The sequence below is a fragment of the Homo sapiens genome, chromosome 2, assembly GCF_000001405.40.
Source record: "Homo sapiens chromosome 2, GRCh38.p14 Primary Assembly".
NCBI lineage: Eukaryota > Metazoa > Chordata > Mammalia > Primates > Hominidae > Homo > Homo sapiens.
In genome coordinates this window covers 219,001,721-219,025,197 of record NC_000002.12, presented here as the reverse complement: position 1 = coordinate 219,025,197, position 23,477 = coordinate 219,001,721, and the positions used below count along the sequence as shown (strand labels likewise).

At 54.3% G+C, this 23,477-nt stretch overlaps 1 protein-coding gene and 1 long non-coding RNA gene across 16 annotated transcripts in view, besides 1 other annotated feature; one reads left to right on the top strand and one right to left on the bottom strand.

The window, feature by feature from the left end:
* Window positions 1–22,352, top strand: part of CFAP65 (cilia and flagella associated protein 65) — a 38,706-nt gene extending 16,354 nt beyond the window's left edge. For 13 of the 15 annotated variants that reach the window (XM_011510915.2, XM_017003753.2, XM_011510908.2 and 10 more), the window contains 21 exons: window positions 938–1,183; window positions 1,767–1,991; window positions 2,869–3,027; window positions 3,268–3,418; window positions 3,918–4,046; window positions 5,479–5,692; window positions 6,019–6,147; window positions 11,154–11,330; window positions 11,613–11,679; window positions 11,829–11,939; window positions 14,202–14,393; window positions 14,494–14,652; window positions 15,113–15,256; window positions 15,738–15,851; window positions 16,044–16,151; window positions 18,689–18,733; window positions 18,975–19,177; window positions 19,591–19,764; window positions 20,743–21,246; window positions 21,926–22,063; window positions 22,177–22,352. In XM_011510915.2, the coding sequence (XP_011509217.1) occupies window positions 938–1,183; window positions 1,767–1,991; window positions 2,869–3,027; window positions 3,268–3,418; window positions 3,918–4,046; window positions 5,479–5,692; window positions 6,019–6,147; window positions 11,154–11,330; window positions 11,613–11,679; window positions 11,829–11,939; window positions 14,202–14,393; window positions 14,494–14,652; window positions 15,113–15,256; window positions 15,738–15,851; window positions 16,044–16,151; window positions 18,689–18,733; window positions 18,975–19,177; window positions 19,591–19,764; window positions 20,743–21,246; window positions 21,926–22,063; window positions 22,177–22,261 (3,474 nt within the window). In that variant the 3' untranslated portion in view covers window positions 22,262–22,352. The remainder of the gene's footprint in view (window positions 1–937; window positions 1,184–1,766; window positions 1,992–2,868; window positions 3,028–3,267; window positions 3,419–3,917; window positions 4,047–5,478; window positions 5,693–6,018; window positions 6,148–11,153; window positions 11,331–11,612; window positions 11,680–11,828; window positions 11,940–14,201; window positions 14,394–14,493; window positions 14,653–15,112; window positions 15,257–15,737; window positions 15,852–16,043; window positions 16,152–18,688; window positions 18,734–18,974; window positions 19,178–19,590; window positions 19,765–20,742; window positions 21,247–21,925; window positions 22,064–22,176) is intronic. The other 2 variants (NM_194302.4, XM_011510910.2) reach the window with 1 other exon arrangement.
* Window positions 9,476–22,983, bottom strand: CFAP65-AS1 (CFAP65 antisense RNA 1). Its single transcript, NR_046086.1, has 3 exons — window positions 22,898–22,983; window positions 15,156–15,241; window positions 9,476–11,296 (listed from the first exon to the last, which is right to left on the bottom strand). It is a non-coding gene; the product is annotated as a CFAP65 antisense RNA 1 (long non-coding RNA).
* Window positions 22,917–23,211: an enhancer, noted in NCBI's record as "tiled region #4963; HepG2 Activating DNase unmatched - State 4:PromP". NCBI's record gives its function as "activates a minimal TATA promoter and a strong SV40 promoter by Sharpr-MPRA in HepG2 cells {active_cell/tissue: HepG2}" and the evidence as "EXISTENCE:reporter gene assay evidence [ECO:0000049][PMID:27701403]".

The window sequence follows — 23,477 nt, the reverse complement described above, 5'->3', positions numbered from 1 at the left end:
TGGCCTTTATGCAGCCCAGAAGATCTGGCGTCACTCCCTCACCGGCTAACACACAGGCACTGTCACCCCAGCTTGATGGGGACCTCTGGTCAGGGATTGCAGGTTTTGTGTTTTGCAGCCTGCTCAGCTCTCAGCTGGTGCTGGCCACACCCTGGATACCTGAAGAGTGTTGGGAGCTGAGATTATCTGGGCCAGTTTCCATCAGTTACCTGCATGAGAATCATCTAGAAGGGGTTACTTACTTTTTTATTTTGTATTTTCTGATATAGAATTTCGCTCTGTCACCCAGGCTGGAGTGCAGTGGTGTGATCTTGGCTCACTGCAACCTCTGCCTCCTGGGTTCAAGCGATTCTGTAGCCTCAGCCTCCCATGTAGCTGAGATTACAGATGCACGCCACTACAACTGGCTAATTTTGGTACTTTTAGTAGAGATGGGGCTTCACCATATTGGCCAGGCTGGTCTTGAACTCCTGCCACAAGTGATCCACCTGCCTCAGCCTCCCGGAGTGCTGGGATTACAGGCAGGAGCCACCACACCCAGCCCGAAGTGGTTACTTACTGCAGCCCCAGAGCTTCTGGACCAGGCTCTCTGAAAATGAGTTCTCCAAAGAGTGATGCAAAGACACCCTAAAATGAAACAACTTCTACTTTATCCTTGAGGAACGGCCTTGGAGGCCTGAGTTTCCCAGGGGCCTGTGCCCCCGCCCCCCTGCCCCCCCCCCGCCCCTTTCTGGAGGTCTCTGGAGAACAAAAGCATTCTTTGGTGTCAGCTCGTGGCCTCCTTCAATTCCCCGTTCCCAGGGCGTTGACTGGGCTGCAGGGCAGCACCTCTGATCTACTTGGAGACAGCTCCTCCCAAGCCCCCATAGGGCCCTGAGTGTGTGTCCCAGGGTGGAGGTCTGAGCGGGGGGCCGCTTTCCTCCTCTCCCACCCCCAGCTATTTCCAGCAGTGTCCTCCGGTGAGCCCACCTACCGCAGCCTGCTCCTGGTCAACAAAGACTGCAAGCTGCTGACCTTCAGCCTGGCCCCCCAGAGAGGCTCAGACGTCATCCTTCGGCCCACTTCGGGCCTTGTGGCACCCGGGGCCCACCAGATCATCCTCATCTGCACCTACCCTGAGGGCAGCTCCTGGAAGCAGCACACTTTCTATCTGCAGTGCAATGCTTCCCCCCAGTATCTCAAGGTAGGAGGCAGAGGGAGGGGACCTGGGTCCTTGGGAATGGGCCATAATCTTGAACCACCCTTTTCAAGGCCATATTCTGGGGTTGGCCCCTAAGATTTCCAGGGGGCCACTTCTCCTCCAGGAAGTAGCATAGTAGGGAAAGAACCTGCTTGACCACTTCTGTGAACAACTCTCCCACCCCTCAGGGCCTTGCCTGTCCCCCTTATGGGGTCTGAGGCCAAGAAAGAGGGTGCAGAGAACCCAGAGGAAGGATCTGGGGGAGGCAAAAGACACCTGCAGGTGGTAGAGGGATATTTGGGTCCAGGCCAGCAATAGACTCTGAGATGGTGGGCCCATGTCTGGCCCCGTGGAATGGTCTATAGATCCTCTCTCAGTCCCTGAGTTCTTTTCAAGAATTATCTCCTGGGCCAGTCACCATTGACTCTGCTTTTGACAGAAACTGCCGGTACACGGGCTGGCAGAGGGCCTTTGACTGCCTGCTTCAAGTGGGGAAAGCTGCCTAGCCATGGCTTCCTGGACATGTTGTGGGGGGCTGGGACTGCAGAGTGAGGTCAGGGCACTGCCCTTCTTCCTCTGGCTCCAGGAGGTGAGCATGTACAGCCGGGAGGAGCCACTGCAGCTGAAGCTGGACACCCACAAAAGCCTCTACTTCAAGCCCACCTGGGTGGGCTGCTCCTCCACCAGCCCCTTCACCTTCCGCAACCCCTCGCGTCTGCCCCTGCAGTTCGAGTGGAGGGTCTCTGAGCAGCATCGAAAGCTGCTGGCTGTCCAGCCCTCCAGGGGGCTAATCCAGCCCAACGAGAGACTTGTGAGTGGCTCCCCTCCTGCCGAGTGACGGCAACCTTCACTTCTGTCATCTCTTATTTGTGCCTATCATAGCCCAGACTTGCCATGTGCAGCCCCCAATTCCATCCACAGTAACTTCCCCCACCTGGCGATGAGGTGTTATTATTACCCTCACCATCCCCCCACCATTTTACAAATAATTGAGGCTTGAGAAGGGGAAGCCATTTACTAAGATCATAAGTTAGGCCGTGCAGGGCTGGGACTGGAACCAGTGTTTCTGATGCCAGGCCTGAGAGGCATGTCACCTCCCCATCCATGGTCCCCAAAGCTGGGAGGTCATTGGGAGGGTGGGTTGCAGCAGCTGGATTTGGGCCCAAATGGCCAGCCACCAGTGAGGGTGAGGAAGGAGACTGTAGTCACAGTGGGGGTGCTGGCTGGGATTCAAAATAGCAGACCCCTGTCCCTAGTCTAGAACCTTACCGACGGGTTGGGGAGGCCAAACTTGGGACAAGAAGCACCAGCACAGGCATCTGTAAGAGCCAAGGGGACAGCCCCTCGGGGGGACAAGAGGCCTCATAGCCTGTGGAGTTGGCCTGGAATGTTGACATCCCGCTCCCACCCTCACTACTGTCTGACCCTGGGCAAGGGACCCCACTTCTCTGAACTTTCAGTTTCTCATCAGAAAATGAGGCATGGAAATAATACTACTGACCCCGTGGGGATATAGGATTGAGGGGATTGGGGAGACTCCATACATGTGCCGTGTACAATGCCTGGCATAGGGTAGATTCTGAGAAAGGGCTAACGTAGCATGACGCCCTGCCATGGGGCCTCGGATGGCCAGGTACCTGTGGAGGGGCTTCCGAAGGCCACTGCAGGGATCATTTCTGTGACCCCAGACGCTGACGTGGACCTTCAGCCCTTTGGAGGAGACCAAGTACCTGTTCCAAGTGGGGATGTGGGTCTGGGAAGCCGGCCTGTCCCCAAATGCCAACCCCGCTGCCACCACCCACTACATGCTCCGGCTGGTGGGCGTTGGGCTCACCAGCAGCCTCTCTGTGAGTGGGAGGGCTCTGGCAGGAGGGGGCTGGGGGAGAGGCCCGGACAGGTGGGAGGGAAGGCCCCAGGGAACCTCCCAAGGTGGGAGGGAAGGCCAAGAGGGCAGAGGATAGGAGCCCTCTGCCCCGGATACCCCAAACTTGCCCTTCCTTGGGGGATGCTCTGAAAATGGGGCTGGGAGAGTGGGGCTGTGGGCCTGGAGGAGCTCCCACTCCCGGCTGGCTGACTGTGGCCTCCAGGCAAAGGAAAAGGAGCTGGCCTTTGGGAATGTGCTGGTGAACAGCAAGCAGTCCAGGTTCCTTGTCCTCCTGAATGACGGCAACTGCACCCTCTATTACCGCCTCTACCTGGAGCAGGGCAGCCCTGAGGCCGTTGACAACCACCCCCTCGGTACTTGGGCCTGAGCTGGGACTGGGGCCAGGGGAGGTGGGAGGAGGTACTGGTTAAGACCGGTTAACCTGCTGGGCACACTGGCACGCGCCTGTAGTCCCAGCTCTTCAAGAAGCTGAGGTGGGAGTATTGCTTGAGCCCAGGAGTTCCACGCTGCAGTGCACTATGATCACAACTGTGAAGAGCCACTGCCCTCTAGCCTGGGCAACATAGCGAGACCCCACCTCTGAGCCTCAGCTTCCTCATCTGTTAAAAGGGGCACCAGGTGGCACCTACCTCACAGGGCTGCTAGGTGGGGAAAAGTGCTTAGCAGGTGCCAATGACACAAAGTTAGGTGTGGTCCCTCTGACCCAGGCTGGGAGGAGGGGCTCCACTCCCTGTTTCCTGCCTCAGGGCCTGCTGTCCTCCCCTGGTGCCCAGGGAAGGGTATCTACAAAGGAGCAGGAGGAATGGCTGGGCCTCCTCTACCCACTGACCCTCCGGCATCATCCCTGAGCAGCTCTGCAGCTGGACCGAACAGAGGGGAGCATGCCACCCCGGTCCCAGGACACCATCTGCCTGACTGCCTGTCCCAAGCAGCGGTCCCAGTACTCCTGGACCATCACCTACTCTCTCCTTTCCCACAGAGGTACCTAGACTGCCTGGCATAGAGAGTCGGGGCCGGGGAAATGCAGGATGAAGGGGGAGGGCTGTGTGAGGCAGTGGATGCCGAGCGTCAGGCAGAGCTGGCAGGGTGAGTGGGGTGTGCTGAGGTGTGCCTTTGGTGTCTGGCATAAATGCCACACACCAGACATGTCTGTCCAGATGAGTGTCCATATGTGCATGTGCCCAGTGCAAAGAGTTAGGAGCTGTGCTGACTTATTGTGAAATCTTAGCCCCCAAGCCTCGCTGGGCCTCATCTTCCTTCTCCGTAAAATGGAGTACTTACTAGCCTGCCCCAGGCAGGTTGGAAGGAGTCCAGGGCAGCACAGAGAGGAAATTGAGAGTGTGGACTGGGGCCAGAGGCTCTGGAACTGGATCCTGGCTCCAGCACTTGTAACCTTAACGAGTTGCTTCACCTCCCTGTGCTCAGTTTCCACATGTCTCAAATGGGGATAATAAGCTGGGCATGGTGGCTCACACCTATAATCTCAGCACTTTGGGAAGCTGAGGTGGGAAGATTGGTTGAGGCCAGGAGTTCGAGACCAGCCTGGGCAACATAGCAAGACCCCATCTCTACAAAAATAAAAGTATTAGCTGGGTGTGGTAGCATGCACCTGTAGTCCTAGCTACTTGGGAGGCTGAGGCAGGAGGATTGCTTGAGCCCAGGAGGTAAAAGTTGCAGTGAATAAGCTGTGATTGTGTCGCTGCTCTCCAGCCTGGCAACACAGTGAGACCCTATCTCAAAAATGAAATGAAATTAAATAAATAAATAAAAATGGGGATCATAATGTCACACAGGCCAGAAAAGGGAAGTGAAGTCAATACCTGCCACCACTTGCATGAATCTTGAAAACATTATGCTAAGTGAAAGAGGCCAGTCACAAAAAGCCACATATTGAATAATTTCATTTATATGAAATGTCCAGAATAGGCAGAGAGAGACAGAAAGTAGATTAGCGGTTGCCTGGGGAGGGTGAATGGGGAGGGATGGCTAATTGGTACTAGGCTTCTATTTGGGATGATGAAAATTTTCTAAAATTAGATAGTGGTGATGGTTGCACAACTCTGTGAATATACAAAAAAAAAAAAACTGAATTGTATGTGTTAAAAGGGTAAATTACCCAGTATATAATGGTGTCTCAATAAAGCTGTTATTAAAAATTAGTTTGAAACCAAATCACGGTACACATTAAGTGCAGGCATGTGTATAAGGCACTGAGGACAATGCCCAGTACACAGAAAGTGTCAGACAAGGGCTGGCTGTTGTTGGAAATGCCCTAGAGCCCGAGAGGGGTCCACTGCTCCTGATGAGGGTCCTGGGGCCAACTGCCCAGGACTCCTGCACCTTTGGCCTGCATGCCCCCTCCAGGGAAGGTGGGAGGCAAGCCCACTTCTGTCTTCCTCACCCCCCTCCCCAGATAACAAGGCTGGGGAGAAGCAGGAGCTGTGCTGCGTCTCCCTGGTGGCCGTGTACCCCTTGCTTTCCATCCTGGATGTCAGCTCCATGGGCAGTGCTGAGGGTATCACCCGGAAGCACCTGTGGCGCCTCTTCTCTCTGGACCTGCTTAACAGTTACTTGGAGCGTGACCCCACCCCCTGTGAGCTCACCTACAAGGTGCCCACCCGGCACAGGTGAGCTGAGCCTGGAGTGGGGGTGGGGGCTGGGGGCAGGGCCTATCTAGGGATGTTCATGGAGCTTTCTGCCCAGACTCCCAGAACAAGGAAGCTGTTTCCCATCTCTTTGAGGGAAGAGCTCCCCAGTTCTCGCCCATCCCTGGAGGGGCCCAGGGAAGGGAAGAATTGGCTTGAGGTCTGAAGAGCCAGCCCACCCTTGCGCCTGAGTCCCAGATTCTCCAGTTCCCACTTGGAGGGAGGGGAGTGCCCAAGCCAGCCATCCCTGGGAGGGCCCTGCCCTGGCCCCATCCCCATCTCTGAACCCCTTTCTCTGTTCCTCACAGCATGAGCCAGATCCCCCCCGTCCTCACCCCTTTAAGGCTTGACTTCAATTTCGGGGCCGCACCATTCAAGGCCCCACCTTCCGTGGTATTCCTGGCCCTGAAGAACAGCGGAGTGGTGTCCCTGGACTGGTATGGCTTGAAGGGGGCCACTGGGGGGCCTGGGAGACAAGTGCCTAGAGGCTGAAGGAGAACAAGAGCTGCACTCTCTTGCCCGTGGTGGCCTGGCTGCTTGCTGTCTGTGAAGAGTGGACCTCACATTGACGGCTGTGGAGGCCAGGGTGGAACTGGGGTTGCCAGCAGGACTCCGGGCCTGTCACCGGCTGAGACACGGTGATAGGCTCAGAAGCGGTGGGACTGCCCTGATGGAGCCTGGGCATAGTGGCCTTAATAACTTAACAAATGAGACACATTCACTGGGCATCTGCTGCATGCCAGGACCTGCGCTTTACAAGTCTTTTCTCCTCCAATCCTGTGGGAAACTCCTCTCTAGACTCTTTCATGGACAGGGAGGCTGAGGGTCAGCAAGGTTAAGGACTCAGCGAAGACCATTCAGCCATGAATGGACAGAGCCAGGTTCAAAGCTGAATTTGTCCAGTCCAGAGCCCTTGCCTACCCCAGTTAGTCAGCAAGAAGACTGAGTTGCTTCTACATAGTACGCACTGCCTCGTTGCTGGAGCCCGCCTGACGGAGCCCCAGCTTAGTGGAGGCTGGGCCTGAATGGGGGCAAGTTGAGGGTCTCTGGTGGGGAAGGACAGGGACCTGCTGCCGGGGACAGAGCTGCCCCCGAGGGTCCTGGCTGAGGGGCTTTTCTCCCCCAGAGGCTCAGAACTTGTGCCCAGCAAACATCCTGCTTCCATGCATGGACTTTTCCTCCCTCCACCATGTGCCTTTGTTTCCTAGTAAACTCCTTTTGATGACTTCCAACTTTGCTTGGCTAAAGAGAGGTGGAAAAAAAAGTGTCCCCATCTGGGTCAGACTTAGGAGAGGGATCCAGGGGTCTGGCCAGGGCATGGCAGTGAGTGGGGGAGAATGAAAATATGCAGGTGGGGGCTCCTGTGATCAGGAACTCGCTGGCCTGAGCAGAGAGAGCCTTGGGGAATGTGGAGTGAGAGGGGTGGGGTCTGCATCATCAGATGGGCACTAGCAGCCCCTCACTCTCTGACTGTCCCCTTTCTCCTCCATGGTGGAGGAAGATGGGGAAACTGGCTCTTTAGGGGGCTCCTGTCTGAGAAGGGCCAGAACTGTGAGTAACTGAGGGCTTCTAGCTCTGAATGACTGGGAACCTTGGCAGAGCTGCCAGCCTGGTGGGGAAGGCCAGGGCCTGCCTTGAGCTCCAGACCTGCCATTCACTGGGCTCTTTGAGTGGGCCCGGAGCCAGGCCCTACAGGGCTCCAGGGAGAGGGTTGGGGGCAGAAAAAGCGGTGTTGGCCTGTGTCCTGGCATGGACTGCGCGCTGGTGTTTGGGTAGGAGCAACCAGCTCACACTCTCTGTGGAGAGGGTCCAGGCTGCTGGAAACAGAGGCGGGGGAAACCCAGGCAGCATGCCCGGCCAGCCGGGCCCATCCATCAGGAGATCATCTGAGGTGCAGGAAGGCAGTCCGTGCCTCTTCCAGGATTCTAAGCAGATTGACTCTCCTATGCTTTTTTGTTGTTGTATTTCCTTTCAATTTCTTAGAAGGCTATTTTTGAAAATTCTAGTCCGTCTCTTCTGAGCTCATAAAGAACAGACGGAGGGTTTTATTCCTGCCAAGGCCTGTCAGAGAGGGCCAGGAGGCAGCAGCAGGCAGGAACCCCAAGTGGGAGGGGGAGCTCCAGGGGAAGCAGGGAACCATGCAGCTGCCCCACTCCCTCCACGCCTTCTCCCCTTCGCGCCTCTGCTTTACCTGGCCCTGGCCTTCGTAGGGTCTTGCATTTAAGGGGAGATTCTTTTCAGATGTCAAATATGCTGGTTAACATCATTTGTTCATTCATCCAGTCTTTAATTCATTGGCCACACCTTTACTGGGTGCTTCCTAGATGCTGGCTCTGGGCTGGTCTTCAGGATAGAAATGTGGATGGGCCCAGTCTCTTCCCTCGAGGCGCTGCAGACTAGCCTCCTGTTGCGGGGTCATATGTGCTGTGAAGGAGGTGTGTGCAGCATTTCAGAAGGGCTTCCTGGAGAAAGCTACAACTAAGCTAGACCTACAGCCTCGCGGGAAAAGGCAGAAAGGTTGTGAAGCGCCTTCCAGACAGAGGGCCTGGTGTGTACACCGCGTGGCTGGAGCAGCGGGTGGAGAGTCTCAGAAGAGGCTGAGGAGGCGGGCAGGGGCCAGGACATACAGGGCCTTTGAATCCTTCTTCAGACAGTTTGGACTTCTTCCTGAGGACATCATGGGATGGGCATCGGGGAGTTAGGAGCAAAGACAGGATCAGCTTTCAAGACCTGTCACACTGGTCTCTGGAGGAGAATGGGTTAGCAGCTTGAGGCAAGGGGACATGTTGGGAGGCCGTTGTGGTTCTCCAGATAGAGGGGTGCAAGATGGCATAGAAGCCCACGCTAGAGGGCTGGAAGGGAAAGGGGTTGGAATTATTTACAAGGGAGACTGGGCCAGGCCTGGTGGCTCACGCCTGTAATCTCAGCACTTTGGGAGGCCGAGGTGGGAAGATCACTTGAGGTCAGGAGTTTGAGACCAGCCTGGCCAACATGGTGAAACTCTGTCTCTACTAAAAATACAAAAATTAGTCAGATGTGGTGGTGCACACCTGTAATCCCAGCTACTCAGGAGGCTGAGGCAGGAGAATTGCTTAAACCTGGAAGGTGGAGGTTGCAGTGAGCCGAGATTGCACCACTGCACTCTAGCCTGGGTGACAGAGTGAGACTGTCTCAAAAAAAAAAAAAAAAAAAAAAAAAGGAGGGAGACTGGACCAGGGCAGAAGGCAGTGAGGACAAAGGAGAGGCTGAAATATTAAAGGACCCCAAACTAGCAAGGTCTCCAATTTTGCCACTGCTGAATATCCACAATAAAATGACAACAGTGGTTTACTCACTTGTAACAAGTCAGACAACATAGGAGCTATGGGAAAAAAGTAAGAAGCTCCGCAGCCCCCTCTCCAAGTCCAGCTGCTAGGGTGATGAGGATTCGGAATGTGCCTTTCACACTCAGCATTTGCACAACATACAGACACGCACATATTTACAGAGCGGTTCTCTTTCCTTTTTTTTTACAGTAATGGCCCAATACTATATCTGTTACTTTCAGGAATAATGATGCTTTCACTCAGCATTATATCAATAACATCTCCTTTAGATCAATACATATATCTAACGCATTCTTTTAAATAGCTGTATAATATGCCACAATATGGATGGACTTTAAATCGTTAAATCACTCCTCTATTGGAAACTCCAATTGTTCCCAGCTGCTTTTTTTTCATGACCACTACAAAGAAAGTGGTGATAGACATCCACACAAAGGTGTGCGTTGCGTGCACATAAGCATGCACACATATGTGCTTTTATTCCTATGAATTGGTTTCCCAAACAGACACTTCTGGGTCAAAGGGCATAAGCTGCCAAACTTCCGTCCAAGAGGTTGAGCAGTTCCCTCTCCACCCACCTATGTTTGAGTCTGTTCTTTCTGAACTTACCAGTGTTGAATATTACTATTCTTCATGCTTCAGATGTGAAAAAAGTTAAGACTGGTTCCTTCTGAGGGTTTGGACTTAGGCCTCCCTGACTCCTACTGAGGCTTCCAGGCCCGTGTTGCACGCTTTCTCTCAGGTGTGCGTTGTGTGCTTTCTCTCAGGTGTGTGTTGCGTGCCTTCTTTCAGGTGCGTGTTGCACACTTCCCGTCAGGTGTGTGCTGCGTGCATTCTCCTCAGGTGTGTGTTGCACGCGTTCTCCTTAGGTGTGTGTTGCGCACATTCTCCTCAGGTGTGTGTTGTGCACTTCCTCTCAAGTGTGTGTTGTGTGCATTCTCCTCAGGTGTGTGTTGTGTGCTTTCTCTCAGGTGTGTGTTGCACGCGTTCTCCTCAGGTGTGTGTTGCACGCATTCTCCTCAGGTGTGTGTTGCGTGCATTCTCCTCAGGTGTGTGTTGCACGCTTCCTCTCAGGTGTGTGTTGTGCGCATTCTCCTCGGGTGTGTGTTGTGCATTTTCTCTCAGGTTGCTTTTGTGCGCTTTCTCTCAGGTGTGTGTTGCATGCATTCTCCTCAGGTGTGTGTTGCGTGCTTCCTCTCAGGTGTGTGTTGCATGCATTCTCCTCAGGTGTGTGTTGCGTGCTCTCAGGTATGCGTTGCACACTTCCTCTCAGGTGTTTGTTGCGCGCATTCTCTTCGGGTGTGTGTTGCGCACTTTCAGGTGTGTGTTGCGTGCTTTCTCTCAGGTGTGTGTTGCGTGCTTTCTCTCAGGTGCGCGTTGCGTGCTTTCTCTCAGGTGTGCGTTGTGCGCTTTCTCTCAGGTGTGTGTTGGGCACTTTCTTTTCCTTTTCTGGATGCTCCCTATCGTATCCTCCACCCGGTTTGCAGCTGGAACCAGTTCTGTGCCATCTCCGAGAGTGAAATGGGTTCTCCTTTCAGATTGTGACCTCAGGACCCTTTGTCACTAGTTTTGTCGGCTACTTAAGGTGCATTATCTACTTTACCGCAGTCCTAGGCATGTCAGGGGCATTAACTCTGTGCACAGCCTTGCTTCTGTTTCAAGAGTGCCAGCCCTGCTGGGGCATCTGTTCTCCACCCTGTGCCCAAGTTGGCCTGGACACCCCACTCCCTGGGGCTGCTGGTTGGTGCTGCCAGCCTTCCTAGGTGTCCCAAATGGCCCTTTCCCAAGAGCTTTGTCACAGAAGGGTTCATGGCCAGCTCAAAGTGGCCCCCATATTCAAGCAACACCTTGACTCCTGGCATCCACAGTGGGAGCCCCACTCTTCACTTCTTGAGTCGCCGTGGCCCAGAGTCTGTTCCTGGGTTTTGGGGCCATTATGAAACGAGAATCCACAACAGCCACATTTGCTCAGGCACACATGGGACAGTTTGCCAAATGGGTGCATGAAGTGCGGGAGTCATGGAAGAAGCCTCCACCTGCCCATCAGGGTCTCAGAGCCCCTGCCTCTCTGTTCTGCCTGACCAGTTTCTTTGTATGGCTTTGCACCCCTCTCCCAGGGCCTTCCTCCTTCCAAGTGACCAGCGGATTGACGTGGAGCTCTGGGCAGAGCAAGCAGAGTTGAATTCCACTGAGCTCCACCAGATGCGCGTGCAGGACAATTGCCTCTTCTCCATCAGCCCCAAGGCTGGGAGCCTGAGTCCTGGGCAGGAGCAGATGGTGGAGTTAAAATACAGGTGTTCCCCACCCCCCAAACCCCCTGCACTTCCAGTCATAGAGGCCCCTACCCCGGGCATTTCATTGTATGACTCCAGGGCACCCCAAATGGCCATTCCCTGGGAGGACCACCTTCTCACCTGCAGAGGAGGTCTAATTTCCTTCTTGCCCCATCCCAACTCAAGGGCGAGTTGCTCCCAGGGGCTGGCCAGCTCAAAGCCACAGAAATGTCATGTCCATTTGCTCTCCTACTTGTACCAGGGCTCCAGAACTCACTCCCAGACTTATCTGTTTCTTTCTAGCCACCTGTTCATCGGTACTGATCACCTCCCAGTGCTCTTCAAGGTGTCCCATGGCCGGGAGATCCTGGTGAGGCCCCAGCACACTGGCCCTGCCCTAGTTTCAGGCTGGAGGAGGGGGCTGGCTGGACAGGAGCAGGGAGCTGTGTTCTCCTGGGGAACTGGGGTCCAGATCTCCACTGGCTGTGTCAGTTCCTCCGGGGGAACTTTTATTTCCAGCTAAATTTCATAGGTGTGACAGTGAAGCCGGAGCAGAAGTATGTGCACTTCACCTCTACTACCCACCAGTTCATCCCCATTCCCATTGGTGACACGCTACCCCCACGGCAGGTCAGTGGTCCACATTGTCCTGTTGACCAAGAAGGCCTAAGTGTTGATCTCTAGGTATGAGTGTCAGCCCTTGAGAGGGTGACAAAGACATGGCCCTCTGGAAGCATTGAGGGGCTGGGCCAGCAGGTTGAACCCCCAGACTGGGCAACTGGGAGAGACTTGAAGGGAGAGGCTGCAGTGTCCTAGTTCCTGGTGCTAAGCCCTTTGCCAGGCCCAGTTCCAATTAAAAAATGAGGATTTTTTTTTCCTTTAGCAAAATGTTCTTCAAACTTCTTTGACCATGAACCATACTAATATATTTGATGTTATATATGCTTACACCCCAGTATATACATAAACATACAACCAAAGTAGAATTACTGCAAATTGATAATTATACTACTACATGCAAAGTATACTGATATTTTCTTTTTTGTTCTATTCTGTCCAATTTTTTAAATGCTGGGCATGACCCACAACATTGATTTAGATCTGCTCACCAGTAGGTCTTAGCCACAATTTGAAAATCACTGCTCCAAAAAGGATGTCCTTCTGGAATGTGAAGAACTAGAATGTGAATTCTTGGGAAGCTTTAGACCTTTCTTTCTTTACTGATTGAAGGCAATACAGTTTCCTTGCTCTGGAAATGTAGATTGGTAATCTCCAAGAGGGGGACATAATATTTTCCCAAACATTTCACAGCTGTGCAATTTCTAATCATTTAGAAGCCCATGTGTTTCTGAGCAGGGGCCTCCAGCCATTCACCCTAGAGGCCAAGGAATGGGCTTCCTGGATCTAGAGGGGAGTTTCCTATCCCCAACTCTGTTCACTTCCATACCCACCCGCTACCCCTCTGCCTTCCCAGCAGCCCCACTAGGGTCTGTGACAGTGAAGCTGGTTTGAGCTACTGGGAATACATAGTGCCATTTGCTAAAAGGAGATAAACTGGGAGCAGGAATAGGCTTTAGAATGAAGAGTTTGGTTCTGGCCAAGTTTGAGATGCTAATGAGACAACCAAGAGGGCTTGTCAGGTAGAAGGTGGACACCAAGTGTCTTAGTCCATTCTGGCTGCTAAAACAAGTTACCATAGATTGGGTGGCTTATAAAGACCACAAATTTATTATAATTTATTGTAATTTAATTTATTATAATTTATCTTAATTAAAAAGGCTGGGGAGCCCAAGATCAAGACATGGGCAGGTTTGGTGGGGGCCCACTTCCTGGTTCAGTGGCTTCTTGCTGTGTCCTCACATGGTGGAGGGAGCAAACAAGCTTCCACAGGCCTCTTTTATAAGGGCACTAATCCCACTTGTGAGGGCTCCGCCCTTGTGGCCGAATCACCTCCTGATCATCTCTTAATACTATTGTATTGAGGATTAGGTTTCAACATATGGATTTTGTGGGGACACAAGCATTTAACCCATAGTACCAGGTCTGGAGCTCAAAGGGTGGTCCAGGCTAGAGAAATAGAGTCAGCATGCTCAGGAGTGAGTGCTCAGAAAGGGGAAAAGGGGCTGGGACTGAATCCAGATGGACTCTATTCTCTCTGGCTTCAATTTTCTCATCTCTAAAAGGAAGGATTGGATCAGAAGATCTCTGGTTTCTTCTAGGACATTCTATGATTCCCAACCTTTGGAGTTGGTCTTTAGTCCCTCAGACTTTTCCGCCCCCTTACTTGCCTTTAAGCAGAACTCCCTTGGCCAGGCGCAGTGGCTCAAGCCTGTAATCCCAGTAATATGGGAGGCCAAGGTGGGAGGATTGCTTGAGGCCACGAGTTCAAGACCAGCCTGGCCAACACAGTGAGAACCCCATCTCTAAAAAATATATATATTTTTGAAGCAGCTGTGTGTGGTAGTGCATGCCTGTGGTCCTAGCTACTTGGCAGGCTGAGGTAGAAAGATTGCTTGAGCCCAGGAGGTCAAGGCGGCAGTGAGCCATGATTATGCCACTGTATTCCAGCCTGGGTGACAAAGTGAGACCTTGTCTCAAAAAAAAAAAAAAAAAAAAAAGAAAGAAAAAGAAAAAAAACTTGATGAAGTTAAACTGAAGACAAATAAAATAAGCTACTCCTTTACAAATAAGATTACAGATTATCCTAAAATATCACCGGCTGACCATACAGTTACATACTTCTCGAGTGATCAAGCCACACGGGAGCTCACAGACTCAAAGGGTGACATCATGGAGATCAGCCTGCCCTCCCACAGTGGGCACAGCATCCCAGGCTTTCTGATTTGCAGTGCTGAGCTGATGTGGCAATTTTCCTATTCCTGCCCCCTGCAGATTTATGAGCTGTATAATGGTGGCTCAGTGCCCGTGACATATGAGGTCCAGACCGATGTCCTGTCACAGGTTCAGGAAAAAAATTTTGATCACCCCATCTTTTGCTGCCTCAACCCCAAAGGGGAGATCCAGCCAGGCAGCACTGCCCGGGTCTTGTGGATCTTCTCACCTATCGAGGCCAAGACCTACACGGTGAGCAGCAACCTGGATGACGTGGGAGGTGGGGTGGTGCTGGCTTCCTCAGCAGGCCTCCCTCTGACCAGTCCCTACCCCCACCCTCCTAACTCCCCAGGTGGACGTGCCCATACACATCCTGGGATGGAACTCGGCCCTCATCCACTTCCAGGGAGTGGGCTACAACCCCCATATGATGGGGGACACAGCCCCATTCCACAACATCTCCTCGTGGGACAACAGTTCCATACACTCTAGGCTGGTGGTGCCTGGACAGGTGGGGAAAGGGGAGCTAGGAAGGCCTGAGGCCTTGTGGGAGAGCCTCAGAGCCCAGGGTGGCCAGACAGAAGGATGGGGAGGCTGGGAGGGACATGAGATGTAGTTGAGGAGGGACAGAGGCAGAGATGAGACCTTGGAACTCACCCTCCTCCAGATTCAGGAGGCAGCACCAGCTCCATGAGAGGTCTACCCTGCCACCTAGTGCCCACAGGTGTTCCTGCTCAAGCCGCTCCACCTGCCTCAGGGCCCTCCATCCCACCCTCTTCACTGGGATGAGGATGTTAAGAGATGGCATAGGAGTGGGGGTGTTGAAAGGTGTCAAAAGGGCCAGGCACAGTGGTCTCGATTTTCTGACCTCGTGATCCTCCCACCTTGGCCTCCCAAAGTGCTGGGATTACAGGCGTGAGCCACCATGCCTGGCCGGTTCTTATTTCTTTACCTCCGCTCTCCACCCACAGAATGTCTTCCTGTCCCAGTCTCATATTTCCCTGGGAAACATACCTGTGCAGAGCAAGTGCAGCCGCCTGCTCTTCCTCAACAACATCTCCAAGAACGAGGAAATTGCCTTCTCCTGGCAGCCAAGTCCTCTAGATTTTGGGGAGGTGAGAGTCCCCTGAGCCCTGGAACCTCCATCAGAGCTCCAGACCCATCCAACCCCACCTGACCCCATCCCATACCACCCCACTCCATCCCATCCCACCCCACAAACCCCATCCCATCCCATCCCCCCCCACTCCATCCCATCCCACCCTATCCCACCCCACTCCATCCCATCCCATCCCACCCCACTCCATCCCATCCCATCCCACCCCACCCCATTCTACTCCATCCCACCCCACTCCATCCCATCCCACCCCACCCCACCCCACCCCATCCCACCCCATCCTATCCCATCCCATCCCATCCCATCCCATCCCATCCCATTCCATCTTGTCCCATCCCATCCCATCTTGTCCCATCCTATCCCATCCCATCTTGTCTCATCTCATCTTATCCTGTCCCATCTCATCCCATCCTATTCCGTGCCATCCTATCCAATTCCATCCCTGTGAATCTCCAGAGACTCCTTCCCCAAATCAACAGGTGTCTGTGAGTCCCATGATAGGGGTGGTGGCTCCTGAAGAGACGGTCCCATTTGTGGTGACCTTGAGGGCCTCTGTGCATGCCAGCTTCTACAGTGCAGACCTGGTATGCAAGGTAGGAACCAGCCCCAGGGGTAAAGTGGGATGGAGGCATGGCTCCCAATGCTGGGGTGGGGTGTGATGGGCTGTGAGATCCCCAGACCCCAGCAAAAGGCAGAAGTCAGCCCTTGGAAGGGAGAGGGCTCACAGCATAGGCCCCGGGCAAGCTCCAGACCTTGGCCTTCTCTCTCTCTGTCCTGGGCCATAGCTGTACTCGCAGCAGCTCATGAGGCAGTATCACAAGGAGCTGCAGGAGTGGAAGGACGAGAAGGTGCGGCAGGAAGTGGAGTTCACCATCACCGACATGAAAGTGAAGGTGAGGAGGGCTGAGTAGATCTCAAACACCCAGATCTTTCTGACTGGCCTTACCAGAGGGGACAGAGGTAGTGGGCCAAGGTGGCCCTCCAGGCCAAACCAGCCAGCCTGCCCTAAGAGATTACATTTCATTCACTGGACTCAGCTTAGCATCTCCACAGCCATCCGGAGAGGCTCTCTGGGTAGAGAAGGCTGGCTGTCCATTCCCTGCCTCGTGTAGCCAGCATTTAATGAGTGGCTACTGTGTGCTGCACACTGGAGATTTAGGGGAGACAAGCAGAGCTCACATTTTATTTTTATTTTTATTTTTTTTTGAGACAGAGTCTCACTCGGTCACCCAGGCTAGAGTGCAGTGGCTTACTGTAACCTCCACCTCCCAGGTTCAAGCAATTCTCCAGCCTCAGCCTCCTGAGTAGCTGGGACTACAGGTGCCCACCACTATACCTGACTAATTTTTGTATTTTTAGTAGGGATGGGGTTTCACCATGTTGGCCAGGCTGGTCTCGAACTTCTGACCTTAGGTGATCTGACCACCTCGGCCTCCCAAAGTGCTGAAATTACAGGCGTGAGCCACTGTGTCCAGCCTAGAGTTCACCTTCTGGTGGAAGACACTGTGGCTTCAGGGGCAGGCTCTGGAGACAGATTGCCCAGGTTTCATTCCTGGAGTTAATGATTTCTAGCTCTGTGATCTCAGTCAACCTATGTAACATCTCAGTTCCTTCAGCTGTAAGAAGTGGGGGTGGGTACTGTGACATCTGGGATTTGCTTCAGTATAATCCAGAGGTGGGGCACAGCTGGGACCAGACTGGCTATGAGGTGCTAGTTGTTGAAGCTGGGCAATGGGCAACGGAGAGTTCTTTGTAGCATCCCCTCCACTTTTGTATACGTTTGAAATTTTCCATATTAAAAAGGTTAAAGATAAAAGTCTAGGCTGGGCATGGTGGCTCACACCTGTAATCCCAGCACTTTGGGAGGCCAAGGCGGGTAGATCACTTGAGGTCAGGAGTTCAAGTCCAGCCTGGCCAACATGGTGAAACCCCGTCTCTACTAAAAATACAAAAATTAGCCGGCCATGATGGCGGGTTCCTGTAATCCCAGCTACTTGGGAGGCTGAGGCATGAGAATCGCTTGAACCCGGGAGGCGGAGGTTGCAGTGAGCGGAGATCATACCACTGCACTCCAGCCTGGGCGACAGAGCGAGCGAGACTCTGTCTCAAAAAAAAAAAAAAGATAAAAGTCTAAAAATACTTTTTAATGTGAGTGAGATATCTGCTTTGTGACGTTGTGAGGATTAAGTGAGTTAATACCAGTGAAGTGCCTAGAACAGTGCCTGGCGCCCAGGAAGCGCTCACTGAATGGGAGCTATTAGTATGTGTTTTGGGAGGGGGAGGGTCTGATAATAAACACGAGACAACACTTCCTTCTTGGTTCCTCCCCCAATTTCACAACCTTCCTACACTGGTATTCTTGCTCCTCAATCACCTTGGTGTCTGCCACACTGAACCCCCAGAGACTCACTGCTCCCCTCTGAAGCTGTGGCCCAACTGTGGATACAAATTACTTCCTAAGGCCAGGCGCGGTGGCTCACACCTGTAATCCTAGTGCTTTGGGTGGCGAAGGCATGAGGATTGCTTGAGCCTAGGAGATCAAAACCAGCCTTGGACAACATAGTGAGACCCTGCCACTACAGAAATAAAATTTTAAAAACTGGCTGGGTGTGGTGGCTCACACCTGTAGTCCCAGCTACTTGGGAGGCTGAGTTGGGAGAATCACTTGAGTGCAGGAGTTTGAGGCTGCAGTGAGCTGTGATGGGGTCACTCCACTCCAACCTGGGTGACAGAGTGAGACCCTGTCAAAAAAAAAAACAAAGAAAAAAAAACAAACAAAAACAACAACAACAAAAAAAACTCTTCTTGGGGGCATGAGGGAAGGAATTTCTGAATTAAATCTTAATGAGGGAGACTGATTTCTCATCTCACTGAACCACAAAGCTCCAGGGCACGAGGGCAAGCTCCCTTGGAGCTGCCCGCCTACATTTGATGGCATTTCCTTCACTCAGGAAACCAGAATTTCCTGGTCTGCAGGCAGCACTTCTCTAGGGAAGGTTCTAGAGGAAAATGTGACTGGGAATTGGGCAGGACCAAGAGGGCAGCAAGAGGATCAAAATGGGGGAGTCTCTTTAGCCTCTCACATCTTTTTTTTTTTTTTTTTTTTGAGACAGAGTCTCGCTGTGTCACCCAGGCTGGAGTGCAGTGGCGCCATCTTGGCTCACTGCAACCTCCACCTCCTAGGTTCAAGCGATTCTCCAGCCTCAGCCTCCTGAGCAGCTGAGACTACAGGCACGTGCTACCGCATCTGACTAATTTTTGTATTTTTAGTAGAGACGGGCTTTCGCCATGTTGGCCAGGCAGGTCTCAAACTTCTGATCTCAGGTGATCCGCCCGCCTTGGCCTTCCAAAGTGCTGGGATTACAGGCATGAAGCACCACCCCCGGCCGGGCCTCTTGTATCTTAAGCAAGGATCTCTCTTTTTCCACAGAAGAGAACATGCTGCACAGCCTGTGAACCTGCGAGGAAGTACAAGGTGAGGCGGCGAGCCCCAGGCCCATCTTCTTGGGACAACTTGGGAGGGTCCTTGCTTGCTCCCAGAGAGACCTCCAACCCCTGGACCAGACTCCCAGAAAGGAGGGATGAAAGTGCCAATGAGTGGGGTCACACGCTTATGTGGCCCAAAGAGCCTGTGGGGGAACTAGGTCAAGGGACCCCATTGGTGATGTGAATGTGGTGCCCAAACCCTTGTCATCCATGTCCCTCCCTTCCCAAAGACACTGCCTCCCATCAAGAACCAGCAGTCTGTCAGCCGGCCTGCCAGCTGGAAACTGCAGACCCCAAAGGAGGAGGTGTCCTGGCCCTGCCCCCAGCCACCCTCGCCAGGCATGCTCTGCCTGGGCCTTACTGCCCGAGCCCATGCCACCGACTACTTTCTGGCTAACTTCTTCTCAGAGTTTCCCTGCCACTTTTTGCACCGGTAAGCTCTTGGGAAGGCAGGGGTCACCTTCCTCTTCTCTCTGTCCCCTCTTCCACTCCAGAGCAGGGGCTGCCCAGACCCAACCCATGGTGAGGGGTGGAGCATGGGCAGCAGCAGTGGGGCTCATTGAGCGCCTCTGGGCCCAGGATGCCCCATTACTGCTTAGGCCCTTTTAGGAGGGGGACAAAGCAGCCAGAGCCCCCTGGGGAACACACCTAGGCAGCCCCTACCCCTCTTTGTTCCTTCTTTTTCCAACTGGGAGTCTCTCTAGCTCCCGTGCTAACTCTGAGGGTTTGAGCTTGGTTCTCTGAACCCAGTAGCACTACATTTGGGTTAAGGCTGGGAGTGCCTCAAACTCATCTGTGTCCTCATCACTGGGCAGCTACCACCACTGCTTGTGCCCCCAACCCCAGCATGGTGGCTTGCCCAGGCCACTCAGAATGTCATGGCTGCCACAGGGAGCTGCCAAAGAGGAAGGCCCCCAGGGAAGAGTCAGAGACTTCTGAGGAAAAATCCCCTAACAAGTGGGGCCCTGTTTCCAAGCAGAAGAAGCAGCTCCTGGTTGACATTCTCACCACAATAATCAGGTACCAGCTCACACCCTGGGCCCTCATTGCCACCTTCGCATCCCTCCAGCTCATTCAGCCAGAGCCCCTTACATTCCAGCACTCTTCCTTTCTTGAGAAATAGAACTTGGTGGGGCATGGAGGTTCTTGCCTGTAATTCCAACACTTTGGGAGGCAGCAGTGGGCGGGTGGCTTGAGCCCAGGAGTTTGAGACCAGCGTGGGCAACATAGCAAGACCCCATCTCTACAAAAAATACAAAAATTAGCTGGACATGGTGGTGCATGCCTGCAGTCCCAGTTACTTTGGAGGCTGAGGTGCGAGGATTGCTTGAGACCATTAATTAGCTTAATTAACTGAGAGGTTGAGGCTGCTGTGAGCCATGATCACACCACTGTACTCCAGCCTGGGAGACAGAGCTTTTTTTCAAAAAAAGAAAAGAAAAGAGAAAGAAAGAAAGAGACAAAGACAGAAAGAGAGAAAGAAAGAAAGAGAGAGAAAGAAAGAAAGAAAGAAAGAAAAAAGAGGAGAGAAAGAGAGAGAAAGAAAGAGAGAAATAGAGAGAGAGAGAAAAGAAAAAAAGAAACAGAACTTCTTTGCAAGATCCCACCACGGTCCCCCCCCCCGGCCCCCCCACCCCAGGACAGTGGGGCTCTGATGGAGCTGGCTGGAGGGATTCTCAGGTCTGGATCCTGAGTTCTGCCCCATTCCAGGGCTGGCAGATGAGTCTGGAGCCAGTCCACTATCTCCCCAGGGTTCCTGCCCATCATGTGTGTGAATCTGACCTGCCCTGCCTCCAGCATACCATGTTCGCTTCTAAAAATCCATGAGGCTCAAAGATGTCTTCCTTGAAAGAAGGGACAGGAGGAACAACTGACCAAGGGCTCCCCTCTCCCCACCTAGCAGCCCCTTTCCCACCTAGAACCTAGCTCTGAAGCCAGGGCTCCCCAGGGGCTTCAGGGCCCCTCAGCAAGGGCCTTCTCCTTCTCCCTGCCACCTAGGGGCCTGCTGGAAGACAAGAACTTCCATGAGGCTGTGGACCAAAGCCTGGTGGAGCAGGTGCCGTACTTCCGCCAATTCTGGAATGAGCAGTCAACTAAGTTCATGGACCAGAAAAACAGCCTGTACTTAATGCCAATCCTGCCTGTACCCTCCAGCAGCTGGGAGGATGGGAAGGGCAAGCAGCCGAAGGAAGACAGACCAGAGCACTATCCAGGGTTGGGAAAGAAGGAAGAGGGGGAGGAGGAGAAGGGTGAAGAGGAAGAAGAAGAGTTGGAGGAGGAAGAGGAGGAAGAAGAGGAGACAGAAGAGGAGGAGTTGGGCAAGGAGGAGATAGAGGAGAAGGAGGAGGAGAGGGATGAGAAGGAAGAGAAAGTGAGCTGGGCGGGCATCGGGCCCACACCACAGCCTGAGTCCCAGGAGTCCATGCAATGGCAGTGGCAACAGCAGCTGAATGTCATGGTGAAGGAGGAGCAAGAACAGGACGAGAAGGAGGCCATCAGAAGGTGAGCAGCCAGGCCCCAGTGAGGACGGGAGGGAGGCGAAGTGCAGAAGGTTCCTAGGAGGCAGTGGGATGCCAAGGATGGCTGCTGCCTGTATGCACATCTCATCCTAATTCAGTGCTTAGTGAGGTCATGTTGGTAGCTTAAGGCCTCTGTGGGAGTATCCGCCCGGCACCAACACTGAACTTTATTCTTTTTTCTCTAAGAACTAGTTGTTGACATTTACCAACTTACCAGGAGAATTGTTATAGTCTGCAAAGTCTTGTAAATGGGCTTCTAGAGCCAGAAAAGGACCACCTGTCTTGCAGGTGGGACTTCCCGCCGGGGCTGCCCTACAGATGATTTATGTCATTGTAGGGATTCCCTAGGCCCCACCCAGTCCCTTCTGCGCCCTCTCATCACTTCCCTACCTTTCTCTAAACTTGGCCCTGAGATGCCTACTACATCGCCTGGGTTTGAATCCCACCCCTTAAACCAGCAGCATATTTGGCAACTTGGAATCTTTTAGCCACACTTGGAACGTCCGTAACATTGAAACAAGAATGCCCCATAGTGTAGTGGATGAGGGGAGTCGAATGGGAATCTCCGTAGAGCTCGCGGCACAATGTACCGCACGGACAGGCGAGCGAGGAGGCGCGCGGGCACTGCGGCCGCCCTCATGCTAGCCCCCGCCCCCTCGCAGGCTCCCGGCCTTCGCCAACCTGCAGGAGGCGCTGCTGGAGAACATGATCCAGAACATCCTGGTGGAGGCGAGCCGCGGGGAGGTGGTACTCACCTCGCGGCCACGCGTCATCGCCCTGCCGCCGTTCTGCGTGCCCAGGTAAGGGCGCCGGGACCAGCGGCCGCGCAGACCGCGCGAGAGGGGCCACGGGGGCAGCCAGGCTCTGCCCGAAGCCTCGCCCCCACGCCTACCTGGGACTTTTTGTCTTCCAGGAGTCTGACCCCGGACACGCTGCTGCCGACGCAGCAAGCAGAGGTACTCCACCCGGTGGTGCCACTTCCTACCGACCTTCCGTAAATGCCCGCGCCCAGCCTCTCCGACATGCCGCTAGGGGTCACGCCTGGCCCCCTCTCCACCGCCAGTAAAAGCATCTAGTCTTTTTTCTGTATCTACCTTGACTTTATTTCCCCGACGAGGGGGAACGCGCGCGCGAGCTCTGAGAGGGAAGGATGGCAGGGAGCAGCCCGGGCGGACTGCAGAGGCGCGGCGGGAACTTAGGGCCCGGGAGGATGCACCTCTCCGCCCACACTGCAGCTGGACTGAGACCTGGCCGCTAGCTGCCGGCCGCTGGACCGGGTCTGGCCAGTGGAGGGCGCTCCGGACGGGGCCTGGCTGGCCTTTGCCCCAGCGCACCTTGGTGCACAGTAACTGAGTGCCAGGCCTGGCCAGCGAAGCAGGTGTCCACTGGGCAGGGCGGCCACCCCTCACCTTTCCGCGCCGCGCCTGCTCGGAGGCTTAGCACCCCCAGGGCCAGCCCCTTAGCATTTGCCGAGCTCCGAGTGCCCAAGAGGCTGGGGAGGAAGAACTGAGGCACGCCGCGGAGGGCCAGGAACTAGGCTGGGGCGGGTCGAGGTCACCACTGGATTTCGGGCCACAGACCCTGCTAAGCGACTCCCACTGTGAATCAGTCCTCAGACGAGGATGGATACCCACCTCTCGGTTCCTCCTAACCCCCGCCCGGGAGCTTCTGTCCTCTGCTTCTCGGCTCCTCCCTCCCAGAGGCAGGTGGGTGGAAAAGTGACATCTGGTGTTGTTCCAGAGGCGCCCAGGGTCCCCAGCACCCTCCCCTCCGCCCCCGCCACCAAGGCCTCGGAGAAGCTCCGGTCTCAGAGCCCGGGCGGGGGAGGGGGGAGCGCTCCGCCTCCATGAGTCAATATTTGCCCCGAGCAAACGGGCGCCTGGACAGGTGTGAGTGTGTGTGTCTGGGGGCGGGGACTGAACAGGCAGTATAAGAGCACACGGAGCCCGGGCTCCGGGACAAGCTCCAAGGCGTGGGCTGGGGACGAAGCCAAGCTAGGCTGGGCCGGGCGGAGGGGCCAGGAAAGCCGGGCGGAGGGTGGCTGGGAAAGGAGGGGCGGGCCAGGTGCGCACCTGCGGTGGCCGCCGCGGCCGCCGACGTGTCAGCCGCAGATGCGTTCAGGTGAGGGCGGAGGCTAGCGGGGCGCTGTGCAGCACTGAGCTCGCGGAAGACCAGGACCAGGAGATCACCGAGGGCGACCGCCAGGCCCCGGGC